Source organism: Homo sapiens, chromosome 15 (assembly GCF_000001405.40).
Source record: "Homo sapiens chromosome 15, GRCh38.p14 Primary Assembly".
NCBI lineage: Eukaryota > Metazoa > Chordata > Mammalia > Primates > Hominidae > Homo > Homo sapiens.
The window spans coordinates 36,334,976-36,362,743 of NC_000015.10; the positions used below are offsets into that span (position 1 = coordinate 36,334,976).

The 27,768-nt window shown below is 36.9% G+C and overlaps 1 long non-coding RNA gene across 2 annotated transcripts in view; it reads right to left on the reverse strand.

The window, feature by feature from the left end:
* LOC105370767 (uncharacterized) overlaps nucleotides 1–26,539 on the reverse strand; it is a 51,260-nt gene extending 24,721 nt beyond the window's left edge. Inside the window, exon 1 of one of the 2 annotated variants that reach the window (XR_932108.3) lies at nucleotides 26,265–26,539. This is a non-coding gene — a long non-coding RNA (uncharacterized LOC105370767). Of the gene's footprint in view, nucleotides 1–24,571; nucleotides 24,873–26,264 lie in introns of those variants that run through there. The other variant, XR_932109.2, reaches the window with a different exon arrangement.
* Between the last annotated feature and the right edge of the window lie 1,229 nt (nucleotides 26,540–27,768).

The window sequence follows — 27,768 nt, forward strand, 5'->3', positions numbered from 1 at the left end:
CTGGAGGCTGGAAGTCTAAGATAAAGGTGTTAGCAGGTTTGGTTTCTTCTGTAGCTTCTCTCTTTGGCCTTGTCACTGTATCCTCACATCCCCTTTCTCTGTGTCCCTGGTGTCTCTTCTTCTTCTTATAAGGATTTAGTCATACTGAGTTAGGGCTGCATTTTAATGGCTTCATTTTAACTTAATCACCTCTAAAGATATTATCTTCAAGTGCATTGTGAGGTACTGGGAGTTGGACCTTCATCATATGAATTTGGGAATGGAGACACAATTTAGTCCATAACACTAATGATTGGGATAAAGTATAAATTCCAACTTTAAAGTGAGATCCTCTGCCATAGTTACCTAGGAAACTAAATGGATCCGTTTTTAACAGTCACTCAGCAAATACTTATTAAGCACTTACTGTTCAAAAGTCATCCCTTTGTGGTTCTATGCTAGATATAAAATGAGTAACAAACAGTCCCTGTCATCTAAGTGTAGCTAAGAGACACCTATCCAAACACATGTAATTCTTTGACTAGTTTAGTGGGCCTCTCTAGGTCATAAATGCTGCCCATTCATTAAGAAGAACGAAGAGCTTTTCCAAGTAAAAACTTTGTACTTTGTAATTAACAAAGGAAAAAACACTCTTTTAGGGAACTTTGCCTTATTTCACCATTTTGCTGAGATTTGAGCATTCATTTCTTCATGTATGTGTTCTTTCTGTTCAACATTCAGGACATAAATGCTATTTTCCAGACACTAGACTTCTTAATGATGCCAATGTCATATATAATAATCAGAAAATATCAAACCAGTTGTAAAAAAGATAATGTTGATAGTCACTGTTTTTATATGTCCTGGTAATGTTACTCATTTGTTACAATGGATGAACCAACAATGACACATCATCACACAAGTCCATAGTTTACATTATTAGGTTTCGCTCTTGATATTGTACAATGTATGTATTTTTGCAAATGTATAATGACAGGTATCCACCATTATAGTATCATACAAACTAATGTTATGTCCTAAAAATCCTCTATGCTCTGCTCATTCATTTTTCCATCCCCTCCTAAACTGTAGCAAACACTGATCCTTTCTTATTGTCTCCTCTCAGATTTACCTTTTCCCGAGTGTCATATAGTTGAAATTTTGCAGCACGTGGCCTTTTTAGATCGGCTTTTTTCACTGAGTAATGTGCATTTAAGGTTCTTCCATGTATCTTTATGGCTTGATAGATCATTTCTTTTTAGTGCTGAATAATATTCCACTCTGGATGTACCACAGTTCATTTATCCATTCACTTTCTGAAGAACATCTTGGTTGCTTCCAAATTTTAGCCAATACGAACAAAATTGCTATAAATGTTTGAGTGCAGATTTTTGTATGGACATGAGTATTCAACTCATTTGGGAACATTCCAAGGAGTGTGATTGCTGTATTGTATGGTAAGAGTATGTTTAATTTTATAAGAAACTGCTTAACTGCCTTTTAAGGTGGCTGTACATTTTGCATTCCCACCAGCATTGAAGAAGAGTTCCCATCACTCTACGTCCTCACCAACATTTGCTGTTGTTAGTGTGAACAACAATATTAGAATATATGGCCATTCTAATAAATGTGAATCTCATTGTTGAAATATCTCAACAATGTCCATTCTGATAAGTGGTATCTCATTGTGGTTTTAATTTGTAATTCCCCGATGATGTGTGAAGTTGAACACTTTTTCATATGCTTATTTGCCATTAATATACCTTCTTTGGTGAGTGTGATGGTTAATATTTAGTGTCAACTTCATTGGATTGAAGGATGCAAAGTATTGATCCTGGGTATGTCTGTGAGGGTGTTGCCAAAGGAGATTAATATTTGAGTCAGTGGGCGAATAAAGGCAGACCCACCCTTAATCTGGGTGGGTACCATCTAATCAGCTGCTAGCATGGCTAGAATATAAAGCAGGCAGAAAAACATGAAAAGCCTAGACTGGCCTAGCCTGCCAGCCTACCTCTTTCTCCCCTGCTGGGTGCTTCCTGCCCTCAAACATCAGACTCCAAATTCTTCAGTTTGGGAACTTGAACTGGCTGTCCTTGCTCCTCAGCTTGCAGACGGCCTATTGTGGGACCTTGTGATCCTATGAGTTAATACTCAGACAGGTGACTGTCTGTTAAGGTCTTTGGCTTTTTTGTTTTTTTTGAGACAGAGTTTCGCTCTGTCCCCCAGGCTGGAGTGCAGTGGCATGATCTTGGCTCACTGCAACTTCCACCTCCCAGGTTCAAGTGATTCTCCTGCCTCAGCCTCCCTAGTAACTGGGACTACAGGCACGTACTGCCACAGCTGGGTAATTTTTTATATTTTTAGTAGGGACAGGGTTTTGCCATGTTAGCCAGGCTGGTCTCAAACTCCTGACTTCAGGTGATCTGCCCACCTTGGCCTCCCAAAGTGCTGGGATTACAGGTGTGAGCCACCGCACCCAGGCTTTGGCCCATTTTTAAAATCAGGTTGTTTACTTGTTGTTGAGTTTTGAGAGTTCTTTGTATATTTTGTATAAGAGTCCTTTATCAAATGTGTGTTTTGCAAATAATGTTTCCCAGTCTGTGGCTTTTCTTCTTAATCCTCTTGATACTGTCTTTCACAGAACAGATTTTTTTTTATTTTAATGAGTCCAGCTTATCAATTATTACTTTCATAGATCATCCTTTTGGTGATCTATCTAAAAAGTCATCAGTATACCCAAAGTTATCTAGGTTTTTTCTTCTGAGTTGTCTTCTAGGAGTTTTATAGTTTTGCATTTTACATTTATATCCATGATCCATTCTGAGTTAATTTTTGTGGGATATAACGTCTTTGTCTAGAATTATTTATTTATTTATTTATTTATTTATTTATTTATTTATTTATTTTTGCATGTGAAAGTCCTGTTGTTCCAGCACCATTTTTTGAAAAAGCTATCTTTTCTCTGTTAAACTGCCTTTGCTCTGTCAAAGAACTGTCAAAGATTAGTTGACTATATTTGTGTGGGCCTATTTCTGGGTTCTTTATTCTCTTCCACTGATAAATGTGTCTTCTCTTTTATCAAAACCATATTCCTTTGATTATCATAGCTTTATGGTACATCTTGAGGTCCTGCTAAGTCGATCTTCCAACTTTGTTCTTCCTCTTTAGTATTATGTTGACTATTCTCCATCTTTTGCCTTTCCATGTAAACTTTAGAATCACCTCATTAATATCCACGAAATATCTTGCTGCAATTTATACTGGGATTGCATTAAGTCTATAAATCAAGTTAGAAAGAACTGGCATATTGATAATATTGTGTCTTCCTAATCATGAACATGGAATATTTCTCCATTTATATAGTTCTTCTCTTGTTTATCAGAGTGTTGTAGCTTTCCTCATATAGATCTTGTACATATTTTGTTAGATTTATACCTAAGCATTTTATTTTTTTGGATGCTAATGTAAATGATATTGTGTTTTTAATTTCACATTCCACTTGCTGATATGTGGGAAAGTGACTGACTTTTGTATATTGACCTTGAATCCTGCAACCTTGCTATAATTGCTTATTAATCCCAGGTGGGGTTTTTTAAATCAGTTCTTCCAGATTTTCTACATAGATTATCACGTCATCTTCAAACAAAGACAGCTTTATTTCTTCCTTCGTAATTTGTATACCTTTCATTTCTTTTTCTCATCTTATTGCACTAGCTAGAATTTCTAGTATAATGTTGAAAAGGAATGATGAGAGGAGACATCCTTGACTTATATCTGATCTTAGTGGGAAATCTTCCAGTTTCTCACTAATGAAATATAATGTTAGCTTTCTTTGGATATTCCTTATCAAGTTGAGGAAGTTTTCCCTTATTCCTAGTTTGCTGATGATTTTTATTATGAATGAATTTTGGAACCTATCAAATGCTTTTTCTGCATCTATTGATACAATCATGTTATCTTTGTTTTTTAGCCTTTCATTTTTAGCCTGTTGATTTGATTGACTACATTAAGTGATTTCAAAATTCTGAACCAGCCTTGCATACTTGGGATAAATCCCACTTGGTTACAGTGTATAATTATTTTTATATATTGTTTGATTTAATTTATTAATATTTTAGGATTTTTGCATTTATATTCATGAGAGATATAAGTCTGTAGTTTTCTTTTCTTGTGATATCTTTTCCTGGTTTTGGTATCAGGGTAATTCAGACCTCATAGAATGAGTTAGGAAGTATTCGCTCTGCAACTATATTCTATCAAAGAGATGTAGAGAATTGGTATAAGTTTTTCTTTAAATGTTTCATAGAACTTATTAATAAATCCATCTGGGTCTGGTGTTTTCTGTTTTCAAAGGTTACTATTGTTGATTCAGTTTCCTTAACAGATATAGGTAGTCCTATTCAAACTGTTTATTTCTTCTTGTATTTTGGCAGAGTGTATCTTTCAAGAAATTGGTTTTCTTTATCTAGGTTACTGAATTTGTAAACATAGAGTTGTTTATATTTCAATATGATTCTTTAAAGTTCCATGGGATCTGTAGTGATGTTTCTTCTTTCATTTCTGATACTAGAAATCTATGTCTTCTTTCTTTTATCTTTAGTAAGTCTGGCTAGAGGCTTATCAATTTTGTTGATGTTTTCAAAGAACCAGGTTTGGTTTTGTTGATTTTCTTCATTGAGAGAATCAATAATTTCTATTTTCAATTTCTTTTATTTTTTTTGCTCTTATTTTTATTATTTCTTTTTTTCTGCTTACTTTGGATTTAATTTGATTTTCTAGTATTTTAAGGTGAAAGTTTAGATTATTGATTTCATATCTTTCTTCTAATATATTCATTCAATACTATACATTTTTCTGTAAGCACTGCTTTCATTGCACGCCACAAATTTTTATAAGCTGTATTTTATTTTCATTTATTTTAAAATATTTTATCTTGAGATTTCTTCTTAGAACCATGTGTCATTTAGAAGTGTGCTGTTTAATATACAAATGTTTTGGAACTTGCCAGATATCTTTCTATTATTGATTTCTAGTTTAATTCCATTATGGTCGGAGAGCAGACATTTTATAATTTCTACTTTTTTAAGTTTGGTAAGTTGTGTTTTGTGGCTCAGAATATGCTCTATCTTATCAAATGTTCCACGTGAGCTTGAGAAGAATGTGCATTCTGATGTTGTTAGATGAAGTAGTTTATAGATGTCAATTATTTCTAGTTGATTGATTGTGCTGTTGAGTTTAATTTTGCCCTTACTGATTTTTCTCCTTGCTAGACCTGTCCATTTCTGTTACAGAGTTGTTGAAGTCTCCAACTTTAATAGTGCATTCATCTATTCCTTCTTGTAGTTCTATCTGTTTTTGCCTCATGTATATTGATGCTCTGTTGTTAGGTACATACGCCTTAAAGAATGTTATGTCTCTCTGGAGAATTTGCTCTTTTATGATTACATAATGCCCTTCCTTATCCCTGCTAACTTTATATGTTCTGTCTGAAGTTAATATAGCTACTTCTGCTTTATTTTTTTAGTTGTTAGCATGGTATTTCTTTCTCTATTTCTTTACTTCTAAGTTATATGTGTCTTTATACTTACAGTTGGTTTCCTTTAGATAATATATAGTTGTGTCATGTTTTGTCAGCCACTCTGGTAATCTCTTTTATAATATTTAGACCACTGATGTTGAGTAATTTGATAAATTTGGATTCATATTTACCATATATGTTACTGTTTTCTATTTATTGCTCTTGTTCTTTGTTCCTATTTTTTCTTCTACTTTCTTTCCACCCTTTGTGGTTTTAATTGAGCATTTTATATGATTCAATTTTTTTTCATTTCTTAGCTTACTAGTTATACTTCCTTTTTATTTTTTCTTAGTGGTAGTCCTAGAGTTTGCAATATGCAATTACAGCTAAAGCAAGTTCATTTTTAAATAACTCTATACCACTTCACTGATAGTGCAAGTATCTTACAATCACAAAATATTCCTAATTCTTTTTTATTCCTTCTATCACTTAGCTTTCATTTCTTCCTTATACAAATATACATAGCATTGGTATATCTACAAAGCATACATAATCTAATATTGTGTTGCCATTATTATTTTGAACAAACTGTATCCTGTTAGGTCAATTAAGAAGAAAAAAATTATAGTATATATTTTAACTTCACTCATTCTTACTCTGATGCTCTTCCTTTCTTTATGTAGATCTGAATTTCTGACCTATAACATTTTTCTTCCCTCTGAAGAACTTCTTTTAACATTTCTTACAAAGCACGTCCACTAGCAACAAATTTCCTCAGTTTTCATTTGTCCCAGAAAGTCTTTACTTTTCTTTCACTTTTGAAGGATAACTTTGCAGCGTACAGAATTTAAGGCTTACATTGCCCATCTGTTCTTGCATACTGTCTACTTTATCCCTTAGAGCCTCTAGCATATTAATCAGGGCTGTTTTAAATTTCTAATCTAATAATTTCAACACTTCTACCATATCTGAGTCTGGGTCTGATGATTTCTCTGTCTCCTCAAACTGTGTTTTTTGCCTTTTAGTATGTCTTGAAATTTTTCTTTCGAAAGCTAGACATGATGTACTAGGCAAAAGGAACTATCGCATTGAAATGCCAGCTGGCCCAAACAATAACAATAATAATAACAACAACAACAACAGCCAGCTCTCTCTATTTAAAGGACCAGGAAAGAGGCAGCCTAGCAAGATGTAAGGCTTTTAGACAAATATATACTCCAGGCAAATACCACAGAAAAAACTTATTCTTACCCATATCTATACCAGCAAAAGCTGATTGGAAGTCTATTCTTCCACCCTTGCCAGCCTGCCAGGATGGTGTCAGAAAGGCCATGTAGAAAGCAGAGTTTCATCCCCACTGAGTGGTGAGAAGATTTTCTCAATGGATATCATATGAAGAGTCAGAACTTCACCATGTCACCCCTCAATTTGGCAGTAAAGAAGTACCTGTCCCCTCTCAGCAGGGTAGTGTCAGAAGAAGCCTACTGGAGAGTCAGGACTTTCACCACCACTCAATTGCCACAGGCCACCCCCATGGTGTCAATAGAGGATGAGTGGGGAGCTGGAAACCCCGCTTCCACCCGGCAATAATGAGGTTCCCTCCCCTCCCCGACTTGAGTGTCAACAGATGCTGAGGGGGAACTGAAAGAAAAAAATAGATTAACCCACAATTATAGTTAGAAACTTCTCTACTCTTTTCTCAACAACTGATAGAGCAACTAGACAGAAAATCAGCAAAGATATAAAAGAACTCAATGAAAGCATCAATCAAAAGGATTTAATTGACTTTAATAGAACATGCTACCTAATAACAGCAAGATGTACATTATTTTTATACATATCCAAGATAGACTATATGCTGGGCCATAAAACCTCAACAAATTTAAAATAATCGAAGTCATGCAAAGTGTATTCTGCTTCCACCCACCAAGTCTTACATTAGCCCATTTGCACACTGCTATAAAGAATTACCTGAGACTGGGTAATTTATAAAGAAAACAGGTTTAATTGATTTACAGTTCCACATGGCTTGGAAGGCCTCAGGAAACTTACAATCATGGCAGAAGGCAAAGGGAAAGCAAGGCACGTTTTACATGGCAGCAGGAGACAATGAAAGGGAAGAGCCATGCACTTATCAAAAAACCAGATCTTGTGAGAATTCTGTCATGAGAACAGCAAGGCAGAAGTCCGTCCCCATGATTCAATCACCTCCCACAAGGCCACTCTGCCAACACATGGGGATTACAATTTGAGATGGGATGTGGGTGGGGACACAGAACCAAACTATGTCAAGTCTTTTCCATAGGCCTTCACCAAGTGTCCCCAGAAATACTGGAAGCAAGGCAGGAGAGCTGCAAATGGTCCCTCATATACACATACACACAGAGCCAGGCACAGGCATTGAATGCCTGGTAGTCTGAGGATGGAGAGGAGAAGGGAAGAAACTCTTCTGGCACTCTGTCTTACAGTGAGTGCAACCAGTGGGCTCCTATTGTTGGAAGTAGGTAAAAGAGCTCAAGGAGTTTCCCCATATTAAGTATAGGTGTGTGGGACCTGCTGAGTGAAGAATGAAGGCAATGCAAGAGAACTGAGAAAATGACTCCAGACACACAACTCCAAAGCCCTCGGAAAGGGAATGCATTAAACCTACCCTTAATCATTTGAAGACTCTGCTGAATTAAATCTTGCTAGAGTAACAATATGGCCCAAACCTGGCTCAATTCAAAATAGTTTGACTCAGTGCCCACACTAGCAGTGTGACAGAAGAAGGGAAAAACACTCCTCTTGGCACAAATATTATTTATGTAGGTCTCTACATTTATCTTACACAGAATATACAGCATTCCGTCAAAACTATACGACATGCAAAGAAACAAGACCCATCATTTAAAAAAAGAAAGAGTCAAAAGAACCAGATTCACATATGATCCAAATGTCAGAATAATCAGAAAATTTTTTAAAAAGAATAGTCACAATAAGACATTAAAGGATCTAGCAGTGAAAGATACAGATGAGCAAATGGAAAATGTCATTAGTGCAATGGAAACTGTATAAAAGATCCAAGTGGAAATTCTAGAACTAAAACAGATAATAACAAAGTCCATCAGAATTCTTTCCATACACTTATCAGCAGACCAGACACAGAGGAAGAAAACACCAGTGAACTTAAAGACATGCCAATAAAATTATCCAAACTGTAATGCAAAGAGAAAAAATCTGTGAAAAAATACAGCATCTAAAAATCTGAGGAGCAATATCAAATGGTTTAACAAAAACATAATTGGAGTTCCAAATAAATAAGAGAGAAAATGGAGCAAAAAAATTGATGAATAATGATTGAGAATTTTGCTAAATTGATAAACACATTTATCTGCAGTTCCAAGAAGCTCATTAAGCCCCAAGCAGGATAAATACAAAGAAAACCACACCAATATGCATCATAGTCAAAGTGCTAAAAGTCAAATATAATCTTGAAAGCAGCCTGAAGAAAAAAGTCACACTTTATACTCAAGTGAACAACAATCAGAATGAAGTAAGACTATTCATCAGAAACAGTGGAGAACAGAAGAAAATGAACTAACATTTTCAAATTCTAATAGAAAAAACTGTCAACCTAGATACTAAATCCAGTGAAAATATTCTTTATGAAGGAAGAAAAAATAAAGAAATTGTCAGACGACGAAGGCTGAAAAAATGTGTCTCTATCTGACCTGTACCACAAGAAATGCTAAATGAAGTTATTTAGTCTGAAAGGAAATACCAAAGTAAAATTTGTTTTGCAGGAGGGAACGAAGAACATCAAGCGAGAAATATATGTTGACAAATATAAAGGATTTTTCAAAAATTATTCTGATGTTATGTATATATGTATAATTTACACATACAAATATACACATAGAAAATTTTTAAATGTTTTAAATCCTATAAAATTATTTTAATTACATATAAAATGTATTTTATATCTCAAATATAGCTATACCTATACCTTTTTAAAAAGAGATAGATACATAGGCATAGATATATGTAAAACTTTTAAAGAGCCATTATTGATTGATTAAAGTCTAAATTATATTATGGGGCTTATAGCCTGGGTCAAAATAGAATGTTTAACAACAAAAGCATGATGGGCAGACATGGCTAATAATTGGAAGTATAATGGTTTAAGATTCTTGCACTAATTATAAAGTAGTAGATTTTAAGTAGGCTATAAAAAGTTAAAGATGAATATTTTAATAACTAGACCAACCACTAAAAAATAATACCAAGAGGCATAATCTTAGAGTAGAAGAGATTTAACAGAATATTAAAATATACTCATTTCACCCAAGAAGGCAAGAAAGGAAAAGTAGATAAACAAAAAGCATATGGGACAAAAAGAAAACACACACCAAGATAGTAAGCTTAAATCCAAACATATCAAGAATTAAATTGAATGTAAATGAACTAATGCTGTGTTGTGGGGCTTAAAAGACTGCTCTGCAAGTCACAAGCCATAAATCTTGGCAGTGTCTGCATGGTGCTAGTTCTGCAGGCTCACTGAGTGCACAAGACGTGGAGGCATGCTTTCCTCCAACTAGATTTCAATGTTTTGGACAGCCTCAGGGCCCAGTCAGAGACTTGCTCCAGGTGCAGAGCCACTGCAGAAAGCCTGCACTAGGGCAATGCTTAGTTGAGCCATGGGAGCAGGGCCATCCCCTCGATGTCAGGCACCAGTATGCAATGTCAGCATGGAAAAGCTGCAGACACAAGACCCCAACTCATCAGATTGTGTGTGCTGTGCCCAGCAAATCCACAGGTGTCAGGCTTCCCAGAGCTGTGGGGACAAAGGCCCCACCCCAGTGTGTCCAGAAGATGAGACATTGACTCAAAGAAGATTATTTTCAAGATTTAAGATTTAATGTTGTTTGCCCCATTGGGTTTTGGATTTACTAGTGAATTGTTACCTCTTTCTTCTTGCCTGTTTATCCCTTTTAGAATAGAAATGTATGTCTGTGCCTGTCCCAACATTGTATTTTGGAAGCATATACCTTGTGTTATTCCATAGGCTCACAGCTGGAGGAAAATTTGCCTCAGCATGAGTCATTCTTTGAGTCTCATCAATATCTAATTTAGGTGAGACTTTGGACTTTAGACTTCTGAGTTGACACTGAAACAAGTTAAGATGTTTGGAGCCATTGGCATTGAATGAATGTATTTTGTATATGAGAAGAACATGAATTTTGGAGAGGCAGAAACAGAATGCTATGGTTTGAATGTGTCCCCTTCAAAATTCAGGTGTTGCCAATGTGGTAGTATTAAGAGATGGGGCCTTTGACGGGTGATTAGACAGATCATGAGGACTTCTCCCATGTGAATGGGATTAATGCCCTTATAAAATAAACTTCACATAGTGTTAGGCTATCTTGTCCTTCCATGTTCCATAATGTAAGGATGCTACAAGAAGGCCCTCACCAGATGCTGGCACCTTGATCTTGGACTTCCCAGCCAACAGAACTGTGAGATGTAAATTTCTGTTCTTTATAAATTACCCAATCTCAAGTATTCTGTTATAGTAGCACAAAACAAACTAATATATGCCCCAGTTAAAAGGCAAAAAAATGTCAGACTGGGGGAAGAAAATAAGAAAAAAAAGAAAATAAAAATGAGTCCTAACTACATATATGCTGCTTACCAGAACATGCTGAAAAGATTAAGACATAGACAGGCTAAAAGTAAAAAGATAGAAAAAGTAAATTATACAAACACTAAGTATAAGAATGCAGATGTGGTATGTTAGTGTCAGAAAGACTTATAAAAAGTATTGGCAGATAAAAAAAGGAGATTTCATAATGATAACATCAACTTATCAGTAAGTCATAATAATCTTAAATGCATATGAAACTAATAACAAAGTCCCCAAATATATAAATAAAAATTTTACAGACATAAATGAAGAAATGGACAAGTCCACAGTTGGAGATATAACATCCCTCTCTCAGTAACTGATGGAACAAGTATAAATTTGTAAGACTATAGAAGATTTGAACAATATCAACAATGTGGCCTAAAATATTTTTAGAGAACACTATGCACAACAACAGCAAACTACACATTCTTTCCAAGTGCAAATGGGTCATTCACCAAGATAGATCATAAGTCATTTAGCAAGTCTTAGTGAACTGCAAAGGATCAAAATGATAGAGTATGTTCTATGATCAGAACAGTATTAAGTTAGAATTAAATAACAATAAGATATCTAGAAAACCTCCAAATATTTCAAAATGAAATAACAGACTTCTAAATAACTCAAGGGTCCAAGAAGAAATCTCAAAGGAAATTAGAAGCCCATTAAGCCTCAACAGACTTTACATCTAAGTGGGAATGAGATTATCAGATCATTTCAGAGAGCAGGTTTTAATTAGTGGAACATAAAGAAGGACTTGGAGGAGCTGTGCATGAGAGAAAAAGCACTAAACAGTTAGAGGACCTGATGCTGTTACATACAAGCCATGAGACATTTTAAAAACATCCTAGAGAATGTATTTCTCCATCTGAAAATAGGAATGAAAACACTTGCAACTTCATAACTTTGTGAAGTTTAAATACAATGCCTGCAAAAGCACCTTTCAAGCCCAGGGCTTGGCCCATTGCAGTAGATGTTCAACAAACATGAGTTGGATGAAAAAAAGTAGCTGGGAGCTCTCAAAAGCAAGCCTTATAATTTTGCCTAGAGCTCAATCAAGCAAAAAAGAGAAATAAGTATATTAGTTACATGCGAGGATTTCAAGTCATAGCTAACTAGTCCATAAAAAATTATTTAAGGATAGCTTAGGGAAAAAAAAAATCTTTGGAGGGAGCTAGGGGTTGAGAAAAGAGATGCTGTGTTCATATTCTTTTATGCTTTCTCTTAACTGAACCAATGCATTCCAGCTCCTTAAACAAATAGTATTTCCACTTTGCTGCTATTTACAGCCATAGCCTAAAGCACAAAGATCAGACTCAGCATCTGATTAAACTAAGTTTTATAAAGAATGACAAAATAATTGGTAAAAACATTTCAGCTTGGGTATGTAAAATAGAAAAAACAAAGTAGCAAATGTTCAAAGCACAATGGATTTTAGGGAACAACACTGTCTCTTCTCTTTGGCATTTCTCTAGGATTCATATCTTGGCTGGGTGACAAAAAGCTGTCCATCAGCTGCAAGCCTGAGCCTATCAGCCTTACAAATCAGAGTTAATAAAAGTCAATCAGTGATGGTTTAACTTGCTTGCTACTGCCTGAAGCAGGATTCAGCCCCAGTGTCTGTCATCCACTTAGAAAACACTTTCTATGGCCATCTATAATTCTAAAAATTTACTCATCTGAATTTCTATAGCTGGGAAAATGTTGTTTATATAAAGATATACATGGTCAACACAGATGCATATAAACCCCCTACAGGTAAATGCACAGATATAAACTTAACCCTCTACAGTTATAGATGCCTAGAAAGATGCAGGTTTTTTAAACCAATTCTTAAAAATCAGCCTCTTTACTTCAGAGTTTTTTCCTACACATACATGTTTCTCACTATGAATGGCACTTAATGTCATAATTTCCTTTACATGTATGTTGGCTTGTGACATTTCCAATAAATTAAGTAAGTGTTGCTGTATTCGTTGCCCAAATCCTGATGACAATGTCCACCAAGATTATGACAGTGGATCTAAAATTCGCAAACTACTAGAGCTGTTGTTCAGTCTTGTCAGATCCAAGTCTATGTACACAGGCAACAGCAGAACTTTCTACCTCAACCAGAGCAAATCACATGTGTATTCAATGCTCAAAAGGGCCAGATAGGAGAGATCAGGAGTAAATAAGCATCTGGGAGAGGCTGCAAGGACAGATATCAATCAGAGAAAAGTTCTCTTCTAACCACAAATCCCACAGTTTTCAAGACAAATTTAAAATCGGGAGGTCATGTCAAACAGAATCAAGGCAAAAAAATTTGTTCACTCACTCACTCAACAAACATTTACTGGGTGATGGCTATGTGTCTTTTATGTCTGTGCTTTTAACATTTATATTATGTGAGCCACATATGCATTTTAAATATATATAAAACAAATTAAATGTACGTATAATTTAAGTAGTATGAGAAGTTAAAAAAGTGCAATTAATTTTTGTGATATATTTTAACCCAATATATCCAGATATAATCATTTTGACATGTCATGAAAATATTTTTTAACTGAGATAGTTTACATCACGATTGCAACCAGCCACATTTCAAGTGCTCAGAGCCGCATGTGACTAGTGGCTACCACATTGAATGGTGCAGTTCTAGATTCTAAGGTAAAGCAGTGAACAAAACAAAATAATTGCCCTGGTGGAGATTAATCTTTGTGGAGAAGACAGATAGTAAACAGATCAATGTAAGATGTCAGATTATTAACATGGTCTAAAAGCCCATATGCAATCGGACCACATTCACCTCTCCAAACTCTTCATCATCATTATCGCCCACTGCTCCCCTGCACTCAACCAGGCTCCAGACACACAGCCCATCCTGCCCTTCCCAGAGCAAGCCTGCCAAACACATGACATCTCACGGTATTTCCATCCACCTGGAACATTCTTCCCCAAGTTTCTTTAAAAACTTTAAAGAACAATGTACATAATCCTAAACAGGCCCGGCACAGTGGTCACGTCTGTAATCCCAGCACTTTAGGAGGCTGAGGTGTGCATGGCTTGAAACCAGGAGTTCAAGACCAGCCTGGGCAACATAGTGAGACCCTGTCTCTACAAAAAATACAAAAATTAGCAGGACATGGTGGCACATGCCTGTAGTCCCAGCTACTTAGGAGCCTGAGGTGGGACAACCACTTGAGCCCAGGAAATCAAGGCTGCAGTGAGCCGAGATTGTGCCACTGCACTCCATCCTGGTCAAGAGAGTGAGACCCTGGCTCAAATAATAATAATAAATAATAATAATAATATGGCTATAGAGTGCTTACTATGCACACTACACTACATACATTTTCCTCAAACTCCACAACAAAATATCAAAATAGGTACTATTAATATGTACATTCTTTCAATAAGAAAACTGCACTTTACATAGGTTATACTTATTTATTTAACCAATCCCTCAATTGTTAGATTTTTTTCGCCTTTTTTTTTTTTTTTTTCCTAGACGGAGTCTCGCTCTGTGGCCCAGGCTGGAGCGCAGTGGCGCGATCTCGGCTCACTGCAAGCTCCACCTCCCGGGTTCACGCCATTCTCCTGCCTCAGCCTCCCAAGTAGCTGGGACTACAGGCGCCCGCCACCTTGTCCGGCTATTTTTTCGCATTTTAAGTAGAGACGGGTTTCACTATGTTAGCCAGGATGGTCTCTATCTCCTGACCTCGTGATCCACCTGCCTTGGCTTCCCAAAGTGCTAGGATTACAGGCATGAGCCACCGTGCCCGGCCTTCACATTTTTAAACTTCATGCTAGGTTACTTTTGCCTTAGAATTGAGGTGGAGTTGCTGGATCAAAAACTAGAGCCACTTTGAGGCTTTAAGGATAGATTGTTAAATTATTCCCTAATAAATTTATACCAATAAAAGACTTGCCCAGTGATACTAGCAACAACCCATGTCTCTTTCAATTCAGTACATTTTTATTTTATTTTATTTTTGAGGGGGAGTCTCACTCTCTCACCCAGGCTGGAGTGCAGTGGCACGATCTTGGCTCACTGCAGCCTCTGCCTCCCGGGTTCAAGCAATTCTCCTGCCTCAGCCTCCCAAGTAGCTGGGATTACAAGTGTGTGCCACCACACCCAGCTAATTTTTGTATTTTTAGTAGAGATGAGGTTTCACCATGTTGGCCAGGTTGGTCTCAAACTCCTGGCCTCTAGCGATCTGCCCACCTTGGCCTCCCAAAGAGCTGGGATTACAGGCGTGAGCCACTGCACCCAGCCATTTTAATTATTTTTAATCTTTAGTAGTTTGATATAAGAAAGATAGCTTTTCAAAAAATGTTTTGAATTTTTTCATTTATTTGATTCTGTGTGAGAATAACGTTTTTCATGTTTATTGAAAAAATTGTATCTCTCCCTTTTAACATCCTTATACCTCCTGTTATTTTTTTCATTTATGTTTATCATTTTCTCATTGTTAACAACAGCAATGCTAGAAAAGAGATATTAACACTTTGCTTATGTTTTTATGTTGCAAATATCTCTTCCTACTTTGTCCTTTTGTCTTTTAATTTTGTTTATGCTTTAAGTTTGTTCATGATTTTATGATTTTTCTCTTTGGTGGTATGCCTTCAAATCCTTTCCCAAAAATTTTAGAAATTCTTCTTTATCCTGTTCTCTCCAGCTGCCCTGCTGAGAAGCCTGGGGCAATTGTGGAAAAATTGTCTTCTTAGGTTTGAGACACTGTTCACTTCCAGCGTACTGCAGAGGAAGGGCTTACCTGCTGATGTGCTTAATTCTCCCCTTTCTTCAACTCTTCCTTCCTGCCTGCCCACAACACCCATGGAGCGTTTGTGACAGAGCAACCCCGTCGTCTGTCACTTGAGGATTTAGCTTCCCTCACCTTCCAGCAGTGCATTAGTCTCACACACTCACCTTAGGTCATTGAACATTTGCTAACTATCTGACAGATTTTTTGAGAAGTAATAGAGATGGAAACAGGCTTAGTATAGGACAGAGAGCATTAAATTGGAAGTCAAATCCCCACCTGCTAATTCAGCTTCTGCTGTTAACTACCTGGGTCCTGACCCTTAAGTTCTCTGGACCCATCATTTCTTATAAGATGAAAGGTTGGCACAATGACCTCAGCTGTATTCAAAGGCTAACATTTCTCACTTATTGCTATGATATTAGTCTTCTTTTTCATCTGACTTTGCAAGAAACATATTCCAAAGTACAGAAAGGACAATCTAATAAAATGACCCACATTATGGGAGTTTCTGGCATAAATAATCCAGAATGAGACTCAGTGGTCTAACTTTCTGCTTTTTAAGGTTATTTGTTGTATAATAATTCTAGGAAAATCAACTTCTCAACAGGCCAAAAAATACTTATCAGTGAGGAAAAATAATCAAGCCTTGAAATTTCTATATATGGTGATCAATTCAAACAGGAAATTACTTCTAATTCAGAAATATTACAAGTAATAGAGAGTTGACTTTTTACCTGAATTAGAAATAACAAAATTTACTGGGCTTGGAATCATCAGTAAAATATTAAGCTTCTCTTTCATATCCTACCCGATGAATAATGAACTGCTTCACTGGACTTGAACTTATTTTGGACGTGAATTTATTGAACCATTTTCTGAGGGTAGAATTCCAGGGCAGAATTATATGTTAGTAGCTGAATACAAGAGTTGGCCTTCTTTGTCTAGTGTAGAAACGGCCACCTCTTCTAAAATACAGAACAGATTTTCCAGTTCGTTTTGCAGAAATGGCTTTCATGGGATTTGACAACACAAGAGTCATTCATTAATCTAATTGTTTTCTGCCATGAAATTATGCTTAATGTTAGTAATGTGGAGACAGTAATATTATAAAATATGAACTGCTAAAAAGTAGCCAGGCATACCCTGGCAATGTCCAACCACTTGATAGATTAATGTCAAATTTTGGTAAATTTTAGATATAGATTGATGGGGCCATTTAACAGCAAATGTAATTAGTTTTAAACTTTATTTACCATTAAGTTCCAGTTTATCCCCTAAATATTAATATAATAATATCTAAGAATGAGAAATTATCATCAAAAATAACCATCTTTGAAATAAAGAGTCTTTGAAAAAGATTGAGCTGTTTAGACATCATTTATCTTAGCCTATAAAATTTTAAAGTCTGTGTGTTTGAAGTATCAGACACTTCCAACAAAGGTCTCAGCCCGCAAAATGCTAGGATGTCCATAATTGATACTTGTGGTTTTTTTCCCCTACTCTTTCGCTTTTTCAGAAGTGACCCAACAGAATATCTTGACATCAGCAGTACCAAAAACTAGTCGTAAATGAAAGAGAAATTCTTGTTTCTGTGGGCGTAAGTGAACAGAATTTGTCCTGGGTTTATTGTTCCCATAGATCCTTCTAGTGGATGAGAGTGCCAGACGTTTTAGGATGATTCCACCAGCAGCATCTTCCCTGGCCCTTCAGCCCCTGAATATTCCCTCTAGTCAGAAACAAACCACAAAGTCAACGAGTATGAGCTGGAAAGGCTTTGCTAGGACAGAATTTTTATTATCTTCTCTCCTTCCCTGAAAGTTATTTTACTTACAAATTGATTTACTGGGGAAAATGACACCTAGCTGTTAGATGTCGTGGGACTCAGGGCAACTGAAATCACTATACCCCAGTGTATCTTTCAAATCCTGCCATCACCTTATCTTAAATGAATGCTGCATATAATATGTCATGCAAAGGTCCTCCCAGTCTAGCATAGACTAAATATAGCAAAGCCCGCCTGGTGGAGTAAGATTTTCCAAGATAGACAAACGCACGGAGGCAATAATGAGCGAGGTTCTAGAGTTCCCCTTGGATGCAGGGTGTTCTTAAGGAAGAAGCGGGCTCACTGCGCAGAGCCCCACAGCTTGTTATTTTGTCACTTTCACCCTATCCTCGCCACCTGAAGAGTAACTAAACATAATAATAATGGCCATAATATATCATTGGGGCTCACGTTTATTTAGCGCTGAGTTAAGTGACTTACATGAGTTTTCTGATTATTCCTCACTACATCCCTACAAAGCTACCAATGAGAAAACTAGTTTTATCTAAGGTGATGCTATTAGTAAGAGATGAAACCAGAATTCAAACCAGGATTACCTGGCCCCAGGGTCCCAAGTGGAAAACACAAGAGGAAAAAAAAATGAATCTTTCAAAACTATTATCCTACCCACAGGTGTTTACAATGAAGTTGGCAAAGATAATCTCTCAACTGCACCCTGGAAAAATTTTCCCACTTACTTTGAAAACTACAAGTCATAATTTAATTTCTGAGAAGATGCAGTAAATGGAAGTAAAAAAACATGAGTGATACTAATTAGTCAAATTTGTTGTGCGCCTATTATATATTACACACTATGCTACATGCTTTCCGTTTATTCACTTATATCTTCTTTTTCGGCAGCCCTTCAGGTAGGTACTGCTATTATCTCCATTTCGTGGGTGAAGAAACTGAGGCTTGAATATGTTTCTGAGTAAACTCACACATATTAAAGGTATTTATAATTTGATATCTGAGAATAAAACTTTTACCTTTTATTTATCTTTATTAAAAATAATAAAAGGGGCCAGGCGCTATTATTATTACAGGCTCATGCCTGTAATCCCAGCACTTTGGGAGGCCAAGGCGGGTGGATCACCTGACGTCAGGAGTTCGAGACAAGCCTGGCCAACATGATGAAACCCCGTCTCTACTAAAAATACAAAAAATTAGCTGGGCATGGTGGCAGGCACCTGTAATCCCAGATATCCAGGAGGCTGAGGTGGGAGAATCTCTTGAACCCGGGAGGCGGAGATTGCAGTGAGCCCAGATCGCGCCACTGCACTCCAGCCTGGACAACAAGAGCGAAACTCCATCTCAAATAATAATAATAATAATAATAAAAGGTACAATTATTTAAGACCTAACTTCTTCCAGTGATCTTGTATTTTACCAATCCAGAATTCATGTTCCCACCGTGAATTTGGGAAATGTTTTAAATAATTTGTTCCTTGGTGAGTGTTCTAAGGAAGCAAGCGGGGAAGGAATAAAGACCCTACCTATCTCTCCACCCTCCAGTCTCTTATGGGTGCTTCTTACTCGCAAAACCCAACCAGAAGCCAGAGGACAGAAGAAGACTTTGGGTGCTACATTCCAGAGCAGCAAAAGTAGGTGGGGAATGAATTGAGCAAATTGAGAATAGTGAACACAGCCACTCTCTCCCTGAAATAGAAATAGGATCCACTATAACACATTTGATTTGCCGGGTGCGGTGGCTCACGCCTGTAATCCCAGCACTTTGGGAGGCCGAGGCCGGGGGATCACGAGGTCAGGAAATCAAGACCATCCTCGCTAACACGGTGAAACCCCGTCTCTACTAAAAATACAAAAAAAGTAGCTGGGCGTGGTGGTGGGCGCCTGTAGTCCCAGCTACTCGGGAGGCTGAAGCAGGAGAATGGCGTGAACCCGGGAGGCGGAGCTTGCAGTGAGCCGAGATGGCGCCAGTGCACTCCAGCCTGGGCGACAGAGCAAGACTCGGTCTCAAAAAAAAAAAACAAAACACACATTTGATTTGATGCCTAACGTCCACCTAGAAATAGCAAAAGTGACATGGGAAAATTTCCAGTCCCTGATCTGCAAAAGAGTAAAGTAAAATAATCATGTCAATACATAATTTTTAGACTGTTCTATACAATATGCATACTTACATATAACTAAATATACAAAATGTAGAATGGATTCTGATGCCAGGCCCTATTCCCTCTTGCTTGGGGAGTAACCTTGATTCAGTCTGGCTGAAGACATAGTTCTGAATCCTCTTCTGTGTCTCTCAGATGGAGTTCGTGTCACCTTGTTTGGGAAGACCAGCATTTTGAAGTTGGGCTTAACCACAGTTGGTGGTATCGTTTCCTATGCATGTTTAGGTTTGATCCTACTAATTTCAGTTAATATTGGTTTTACTTTTTCTATTATAAATTCTTAGATGCAGTGTCTCGTGTTAACCTAAGTACAAGATAATAGTGGTCACCACGCTCAATATTCTCTTAAGTACCAAATAAATGCTATTTAATTTTTATGACTCAAGAGACTTAAAAATTTTTTTTTTGCAGTAGTTTGGTCATATCTACGCAAATTGAGATTGAAGAGATTAAGATTTCAGCCCTGTGTTTGTTGTGAACAGTTTGAGAAAGTGTTGCTTGGGGCCTGAAGTATCTGGGAAATTGTCAGATGTCTCCACCCCAGCTGACTAGGAAGAGCTAGCCAAATTTTTCAAACCATAGCCTAACCTTTTCTATTATTTTGACGACAGGTATCTCTTTAGCCAGATCTACAAAGTCAAGGTTAACAGAGCTAAGAGATAATTATCTAGGCAGTTTCCACCTCCATTAGAATGATGATGGCTACAATTTTCCACTTTATTTTCAGTATGTAGACTGAGCACATGGAAGCCAGAGAAGAGATGCTTAAGTCAAATTTCCAAAAAGAAAATTATTCTTAATCATTCTAGTACAGAAGGTTTGGAGAAATTAGGATTCACATTTACTAGTGGTGGGAGTATAAATTGGCAATTTGGCAATGTCTAGTAAAGTTGAAGATGTGCATTTCTGATGACCCAAAAATCTACACACCCCCTTTTTTTGTTTTTTTGGTATGTGCCCTAGGAGAAAAAAGCACATACCTGTGCACAAAGACACATCGCTAAGATTTACATATACTTATACAATTAAATACTGTGTTCCAGTTAAAATGACTGTGGCTTAGATCTACCTGTGTTACCACTGGTAAATCCCAAACATATAATGTATATGAAACAAACAAGATACAAAAGAATGCATAGGGTGTAATATCATTTTCAAAAGGTTAAAAAAACCTGTAAAATAGCATATATGTTGTTCATAGTCATAAAAGTATGTAGTCAAAAACAATCAGAAAACATTTATATGCATGAACTCATGATAACCATTTCCTTTGAGGAGACAGAGAACAAATAAGGATAGAAAAGGAATACATAGTAATCCTCAACTATATCTATGAGATTTATTTTCTTAAAGCACACATACACACACACACACACACACACACACACACACAGACCCCTAAAGTGCAATGTTAAGATTTGATAAAATTGTGTTATGGGTCCATGGATTTTTATTATATTATTCTCTATAGTTGTCTACATGTTTGAAATATTTCATTATAAAATATATATTTTTAAATCATCCAAGCGCAAGAATATTTATCAGAGGAATCACCAAAGCAAGGAAAAATAAAACATCCCACTCAACTTCTTTTCCCCATAAGAAACCATGAATTATGGAGCAAAGAATGCCTTGTATTTATGAGAGAGATTCTTCTAAAGGATGCCTCACATTTATAAGTGAATATCCCTGTAAAGATCACGGCTTATTCATCCTAAATTCCAGACAAGAATATCCTACATTGGATTTGGTACAAGTTTATGATCCCAAAAGCATTAAGGTTAGCTCTGCTTAACATTTTATTTCTTAGCAGAACACTTTAGGAATTCCGAGAGAGGATCGCCCAGCTCGATCAGGGTGTTACACTGCCCTTGGAGCATTGGGAAGATAAGATAACTGTGGAAATAAATGATAGAATGGACTGAGCCCTTAGTGTTGCTGTGTTGTTTATCATACTTGTAAGACTGCAGCAATCAGAACATATGTATGCATTTTTCCCTTGAAACATCTTTTGAGTGGTAGTTGTGTGAAACAATGATCTGTTGAATTTAATTCACAGATCAAAGAGGAAGGAAATTAACCAACACAGTAAATTGATTATTTCATGGGTGACATAACCAAGGCAATGATTTATCTTAATAAAGGGCAACTTCCCTCTAGTTCTTAACTGAATTCCAGCCAACGCAATAATACTCGGCTGTTAATGACTTTGATGTTGATGTGGAAAAGTGAATGACTGCATAATCACTGAAATGGGACCTCATCACAGTTGGAAACGTTTAAGCCAAATCATTTTGGACTGTGAAAAGAGCCCTGAGTGGTGGATATTGGCTGGGTACCAGATCTTCAGTCTTAACTAAACAGGGCCTGAAAACTTTATCATATTGCACTGCTCTGGCTGGACCATAACTCTGACAGCTCACAGAGACTGGAGTTTAATATATATGTCTGTGGCCTCACAGAGGGAAGAAAGAATTCCAGGGCTTACAGCACCGATAATAAATACATGTCTATCAGCATTCAGCTGAAAGTGTAATTAGTTAAATCCGTCTTTGGGAGAGGGAACAGAAGAAAGGAAACAGAAGTCAACTTAAAAAAAATTGAACCAAAAGCTTATTTTTATACTCCACGTTACTAAATATGGCTTAAGAGCTTGCGAGACAGCGTTAGTCATAGATGGCAGCCTCCACCTCCTCCCCTCCTCCACTCTCCATCTCTAAATAATAAAATGAACTAAAATTAGAGCTGCATTCAAGTATGTTTGCTTGATTATTATTATTTGAGTTTGAGCTGAGAAGTCTATGAGGAGAGGTAGCACCCTTGGGAATATAAGGGACTCCCTGGTGTCCACATTTTTTACTTCTAAATGGAGAAAAGGAAACCAGCTTTGGTCACAGCCCAATTGTCATCACCCAACCCAGTAGATTTCCTCTTGGGCTAATCAGATGCTGGATAACATCAACTTCCTAGAGTTAAATTATTACATCCACGTATTATAATGCTAGTCTTCAGCAAGTGTCTCCAACCCACCCCATTCTCCCCTAGTCTCCACCCTATTCACCCTCTTCACAACCTCCCACTGTCCCCAGATGCTCCTAAACATAAGTTTCAGGGACTTGTCCAAGTGAGCCTATACCAAGCTCTGCAGCCACAGCTTGGTGACCAGGACTTATAAGAACACAGCCATAGGCACAGCTTGAGGGGCACCAGACACTTGCCTGTTTAAATACCACAGAGCCCCCAGGCTCAAGAAACTCAAGATGTCTGATTCTGATCATTTATTTTAAAAAAAATCTGTCTTTAGGGGCAAGGATTGTTAAACTGCTCATCCAGGCCTGCAGCTGAGGTTGACTCAGAGCTCAAAGCTGGAAAATGCCCATGTGGCAAGATTAGAAACTCATTTGTGTGGTTTCTGTGGCCTTGCCGGGAGCCTCCTTCTTTTCTCTCCTCTCTCTTTAAATCCAAGCCTTCATCAGTTTATTATTTTAAAGGCACCCTTTTCCTGCTGAGTAAGTGACATGGCTGCATCCAGGCAGCTTTTCCCCAATGCATTAATGACCCTCGAAGATTTTATTCCTGTTCAGCAACCTACTTAGATGAGGTCATCTGGGAAACTTTCAAATAGTCTATACCTTTTCTTTTTTTTTTCTGCTCTTCTCAAACTGTTCTCCTCCATGTGCAAGAAATTCTTTTCTTTTATTCCCTCTCCTCAAATTCAATCTGAATCCAAGTGCTTTTAATTTTTAGCTGCATTTTGCAAGCCTGGACTTTCAGGAATATATGTTATGAAAGCACTGAAAGAAAAGACTTTCTTGTCATCAAAACCATAATAATTATGTGTCAAAGATAATTACTGCTTGGTGTGTAATACATCTAATACCAAGTGACAGAGAAAGTAGTCTACCGGCAGACAAGAGTAACTGCCGGCTGGCTGAAATCTGATATAAAATTAACCACCAGGCTCAAGCTCTCTGCCCACTGGAATTTCACCAGATAAAGGCCACCTCCACCCCCCAAAATAATTCTTAGCAATGGTTAGTTTATTTGTGTTCTTTGTTGGGAACTTTTTAAAGAAATGCTTATATTGGTATATGTGTAAAAATTAGTTGTGTCTCTCATAAAGATATAAGACTGTATTCCAAATGCCCATGTTGCATATGCCATAGGGAGATTATCTGGAGAGTTGAATTGTTAATACAACAGCTAAGAACACAACGAAACTCTGGGAAGTAAGAATGAGAAGCTTTCAGAGATTGCTAGTAGTTTGGCTCCATAACACCTGAATTTAGAATCTAATACTTATATAGAAAACCAATGCATTGAAAGCAAAGCATTTAAGGATGTGAAGATGGACCACAACACTGCTGGAACAAAGGGAGGTAAAGAGAATCCTAGGGATGCTACCAAAGTAAAACGTGATGGTCCTTGGGAAATTTCCCTGAGTTGGGCTGGGAAACAACTATTAAAAAAAAAAAATCAAGCATGAGAATTCTGCTCAAAGGTTCCTTTTGGGCAACTTTATAGCCGAAGATAAGGGCCAACTTCCTTTTTTGATCAGTGATGCCCCTGGCACATTTCACCACGAGCAAAATCAGCTATGCCAAAGAAAAGCTGGCTTGAGCCCAGCAAAGGCAAATGGTGGTTAACAGCAGTCAGGGTTGCATGGTTTACGCATCATTTAGGATAGACCTAAATCTCACCTACCTCATCACAGCAAAAACTGTCTCCACAACAGCAGAAGGAGAGGCCAGAAACTTAGAAGAAGAACTGAGTTTTTGTGAACTGTTCCCTGATTAGCCGAAATAGCAAACAGGCCTGCAGACTCTCATCAGCTGGCAATGAATGGACTTGGGTGCACTTGGTACACAGAGGCAAAAATACAGACATTGATAGAAGACTTTAGTGACCCTCTGAGGTTCCTCTTTGTGAAGACTAAGACTAATCCAGCACAGCATTATCTCTAAGCCTTCAAATGAATCCTGTGAGTGCTTATCTAGTTCAAACTCATCTCCACCAAAAACCCTCCTAGTGCTTAATTGAAATAGTTCATTTTGATTTAGTGCTCAACAGCTTCTGTACCATTATAGCTGTTCTGCACCAGATAGGAATTCCTTTTTAACTTCAGGAGTTATGTTCTTTGAAAGTACTGAAATTGGAAAAACTACATTTGGCAAGGCTAAGAATCAGAAAATAATTAAACTGGTGTTAACTAGATATACCTAATAATAATGAATAAAGTTTCTAGAAGGCACCTGGATGCAGGAAATTAAATTAATTAGCATTAGAAATCTCCTGTTGATAACCATTTATTTGTTTATGAAATATAGCTTCATCATCCTGCCTAGCCGAGGCAGAGTGGCAAATTTTATGCAAGACACACTGTACCAACTCAAAAAAATTTTTAACCACTTCTCAATGGATAAAAATTCGATGCTCTTTGCACTTAGGCCCTCATTTTTAGTTTCACTGTTTCTGTGAAATTCTCATGTAACAGTCTATCCTTTTCCTAAGCATCAGCCTGCTTAAGGGCATATGTTACTGGTGGTCCCTCTCCACGATTTGAGAGGGTAGAGCATAAATAATTTCCCTCTGTGCCATTCTATAGACCCTAACACATGATCTGCTGGGGGGAATGGAGGGAGAGAGATGAACTGATTCGAACTGAACCTCGGGAGAAATATCGTTTTATATATATTTGGTATACAAATATAAAACTGTGCTGATCTCAAATCTAAAATTGGTAAAGGAGTACAAATTTACCTTTCCTCTTCATCTCTAAGATTTTGAGATAGAAACTAATGTTGTCTTCCAATTTGGCTGTTAGCAAGAGCAATTGAGGATGGTGAAAAATAAAATGATGAGACATAAAAAGAATGACATGAAGTGTTCTCAGAAAATAAGAAAAATATTCATATTATTACTTCCATGCTAATGTGTTTAGGAATTTCTTCACAAAACGTAACAAGGTGTATTCCACTATACTGTCTCAATACAAACTACAGTTCTGAACTCACACTGCTTTTCTGCAGAATATTTATGAAATAGTTTGGATTGTTTTAAATATCTGACCAAAAAGTGTTATTTTTAACAAAAGAAAAAAATAAAATAGGCTTTTGAATATATGTATTGCATATATTTGTGAAAATATTAATATTATATAGACATTTTAAATATCACATCATCCAATAGCATTCTTAGTAAGCCATAATGTAACACAGAATTTTCGGTAGTGCTTAAAATGAAAGGTAATGGAGAAAATACACTATATAATTCAGAAACATAAACACACACAAGTAGAACAAAAATAATAAAATGACATTAACTAAAATAAATTCTTGACTTTTTATCACATGGATTATTTAAAATCTTAACAAATAAAGAATAACCACCAGCATACCTTATTAATTTTGTTGTATAAGGTATCCATATAGAGTCACCATGGTTAAGCTTCTCTAAACTACATCACTATGAGCCACTAATAGTAGATTTCTCTCTGGCAGTTAAAATAGCATTTAAATATTTTTCCCAGACATACATTTTTGTATAGTCTAATTCTCAATATACCAAGTTATTAGATGCCAATTCTCAATTTGTCAAGCATAAGGTATTATCTCTGTTGGGAGGCCGTGGCACGCTTTAGTGTTCTAGCACTCTTCCACCTACCTCGAGTGTGGATCCCCCAACAGGCTTCAGTGATTCATCATTCCTGGCATCCACTTCCTTGAGACATCTGATTGGATTGAAATGATGTAAAGAGAAAGAGAAAATATACAAACTGGAGAAATTCACAAAAAATATACAACTGGGTTTCTCTTGTTCTCGATGTTACTAAAGAAGAGTTTTCAAATGAAACATATTTATCTTCAGCCACACACAAAAATAAATAACCTTGGAAAATTGTTAAAGAAAAGAAAAGCTGGCAAACAATGCAAAAATGACAAATGGTTAAGATACTTGTTTTTACAAATCGGTGTCACAACACAGTGCAATATCATGGCTAGCATGTTTTGTGAATCTATGCCTGTCAATACATCATTCAATAAAGAGCAGCAGGGTTTTGGTTAGTGTCTTTGTTTTATTTCCAAGAAAGCAACAGCAATAGTCCTTGGAAGAAAAGTGAGAAAGTGACCAAGGCTGATGGGTATTGATTTGTCCCCTGCATTGAATGTCTAGGGAAGAAATGTGGGTGGTCCTGAAGCGTGACCTGGGCCACTCATTACTAAAGTGTCCTTTTAATGCTTTTCGTCTCTGATGTGAACTTTCAACTATCTGGTTTACCTACATTTAACTATCTCATGAGTTATAGGTAACCCTAGCATCTTCCTAAATTCCTTTAATTATTTTCAAGGATAAGAGGCTATACAGCTTGTGAAATATAAAAACTCCCTAAAGGTCAAAAAGGAGCTTTAAGTGTTAATAAAATCTTATGGGTTTTTAGTAGGAAAGGGTAGCACAGAGTACCTACTTAAACGGTCTATTTTTACTACCACTTTTCATCTTCACTTGGAAATGCTTTTGTTTAGAGTGATGTGAAATATCATCTAACCAGACAGCGACAGGAGCATTGATCTGCTTATCCTTGCAGTGAAATGAACATAGTTCCTCCATTCTCACACCCAAAACCTGAGCCAAATGGGTGAATGGCTCTGACAGGGAAAAGTGGGAGCTTCCCTGACTAATAGCTGAGATGCAAAGTATTTGAAAAAGAAATTAGAAGAATGCATTATCTAGAGACATTTCCTGCCACCAAAACACTCCCTCTTAGGCCGATGACTGAGGAATCCCAGAAGGCATTCTCCCCTGGATGTGGCCTACATCAATGGCACATTTCTGAATTGTCAGGCTGAAAGCCCATCAATAGTCGTAAGGAAAAGGATGTGTCCTCATTGGGGGTGTGTTGA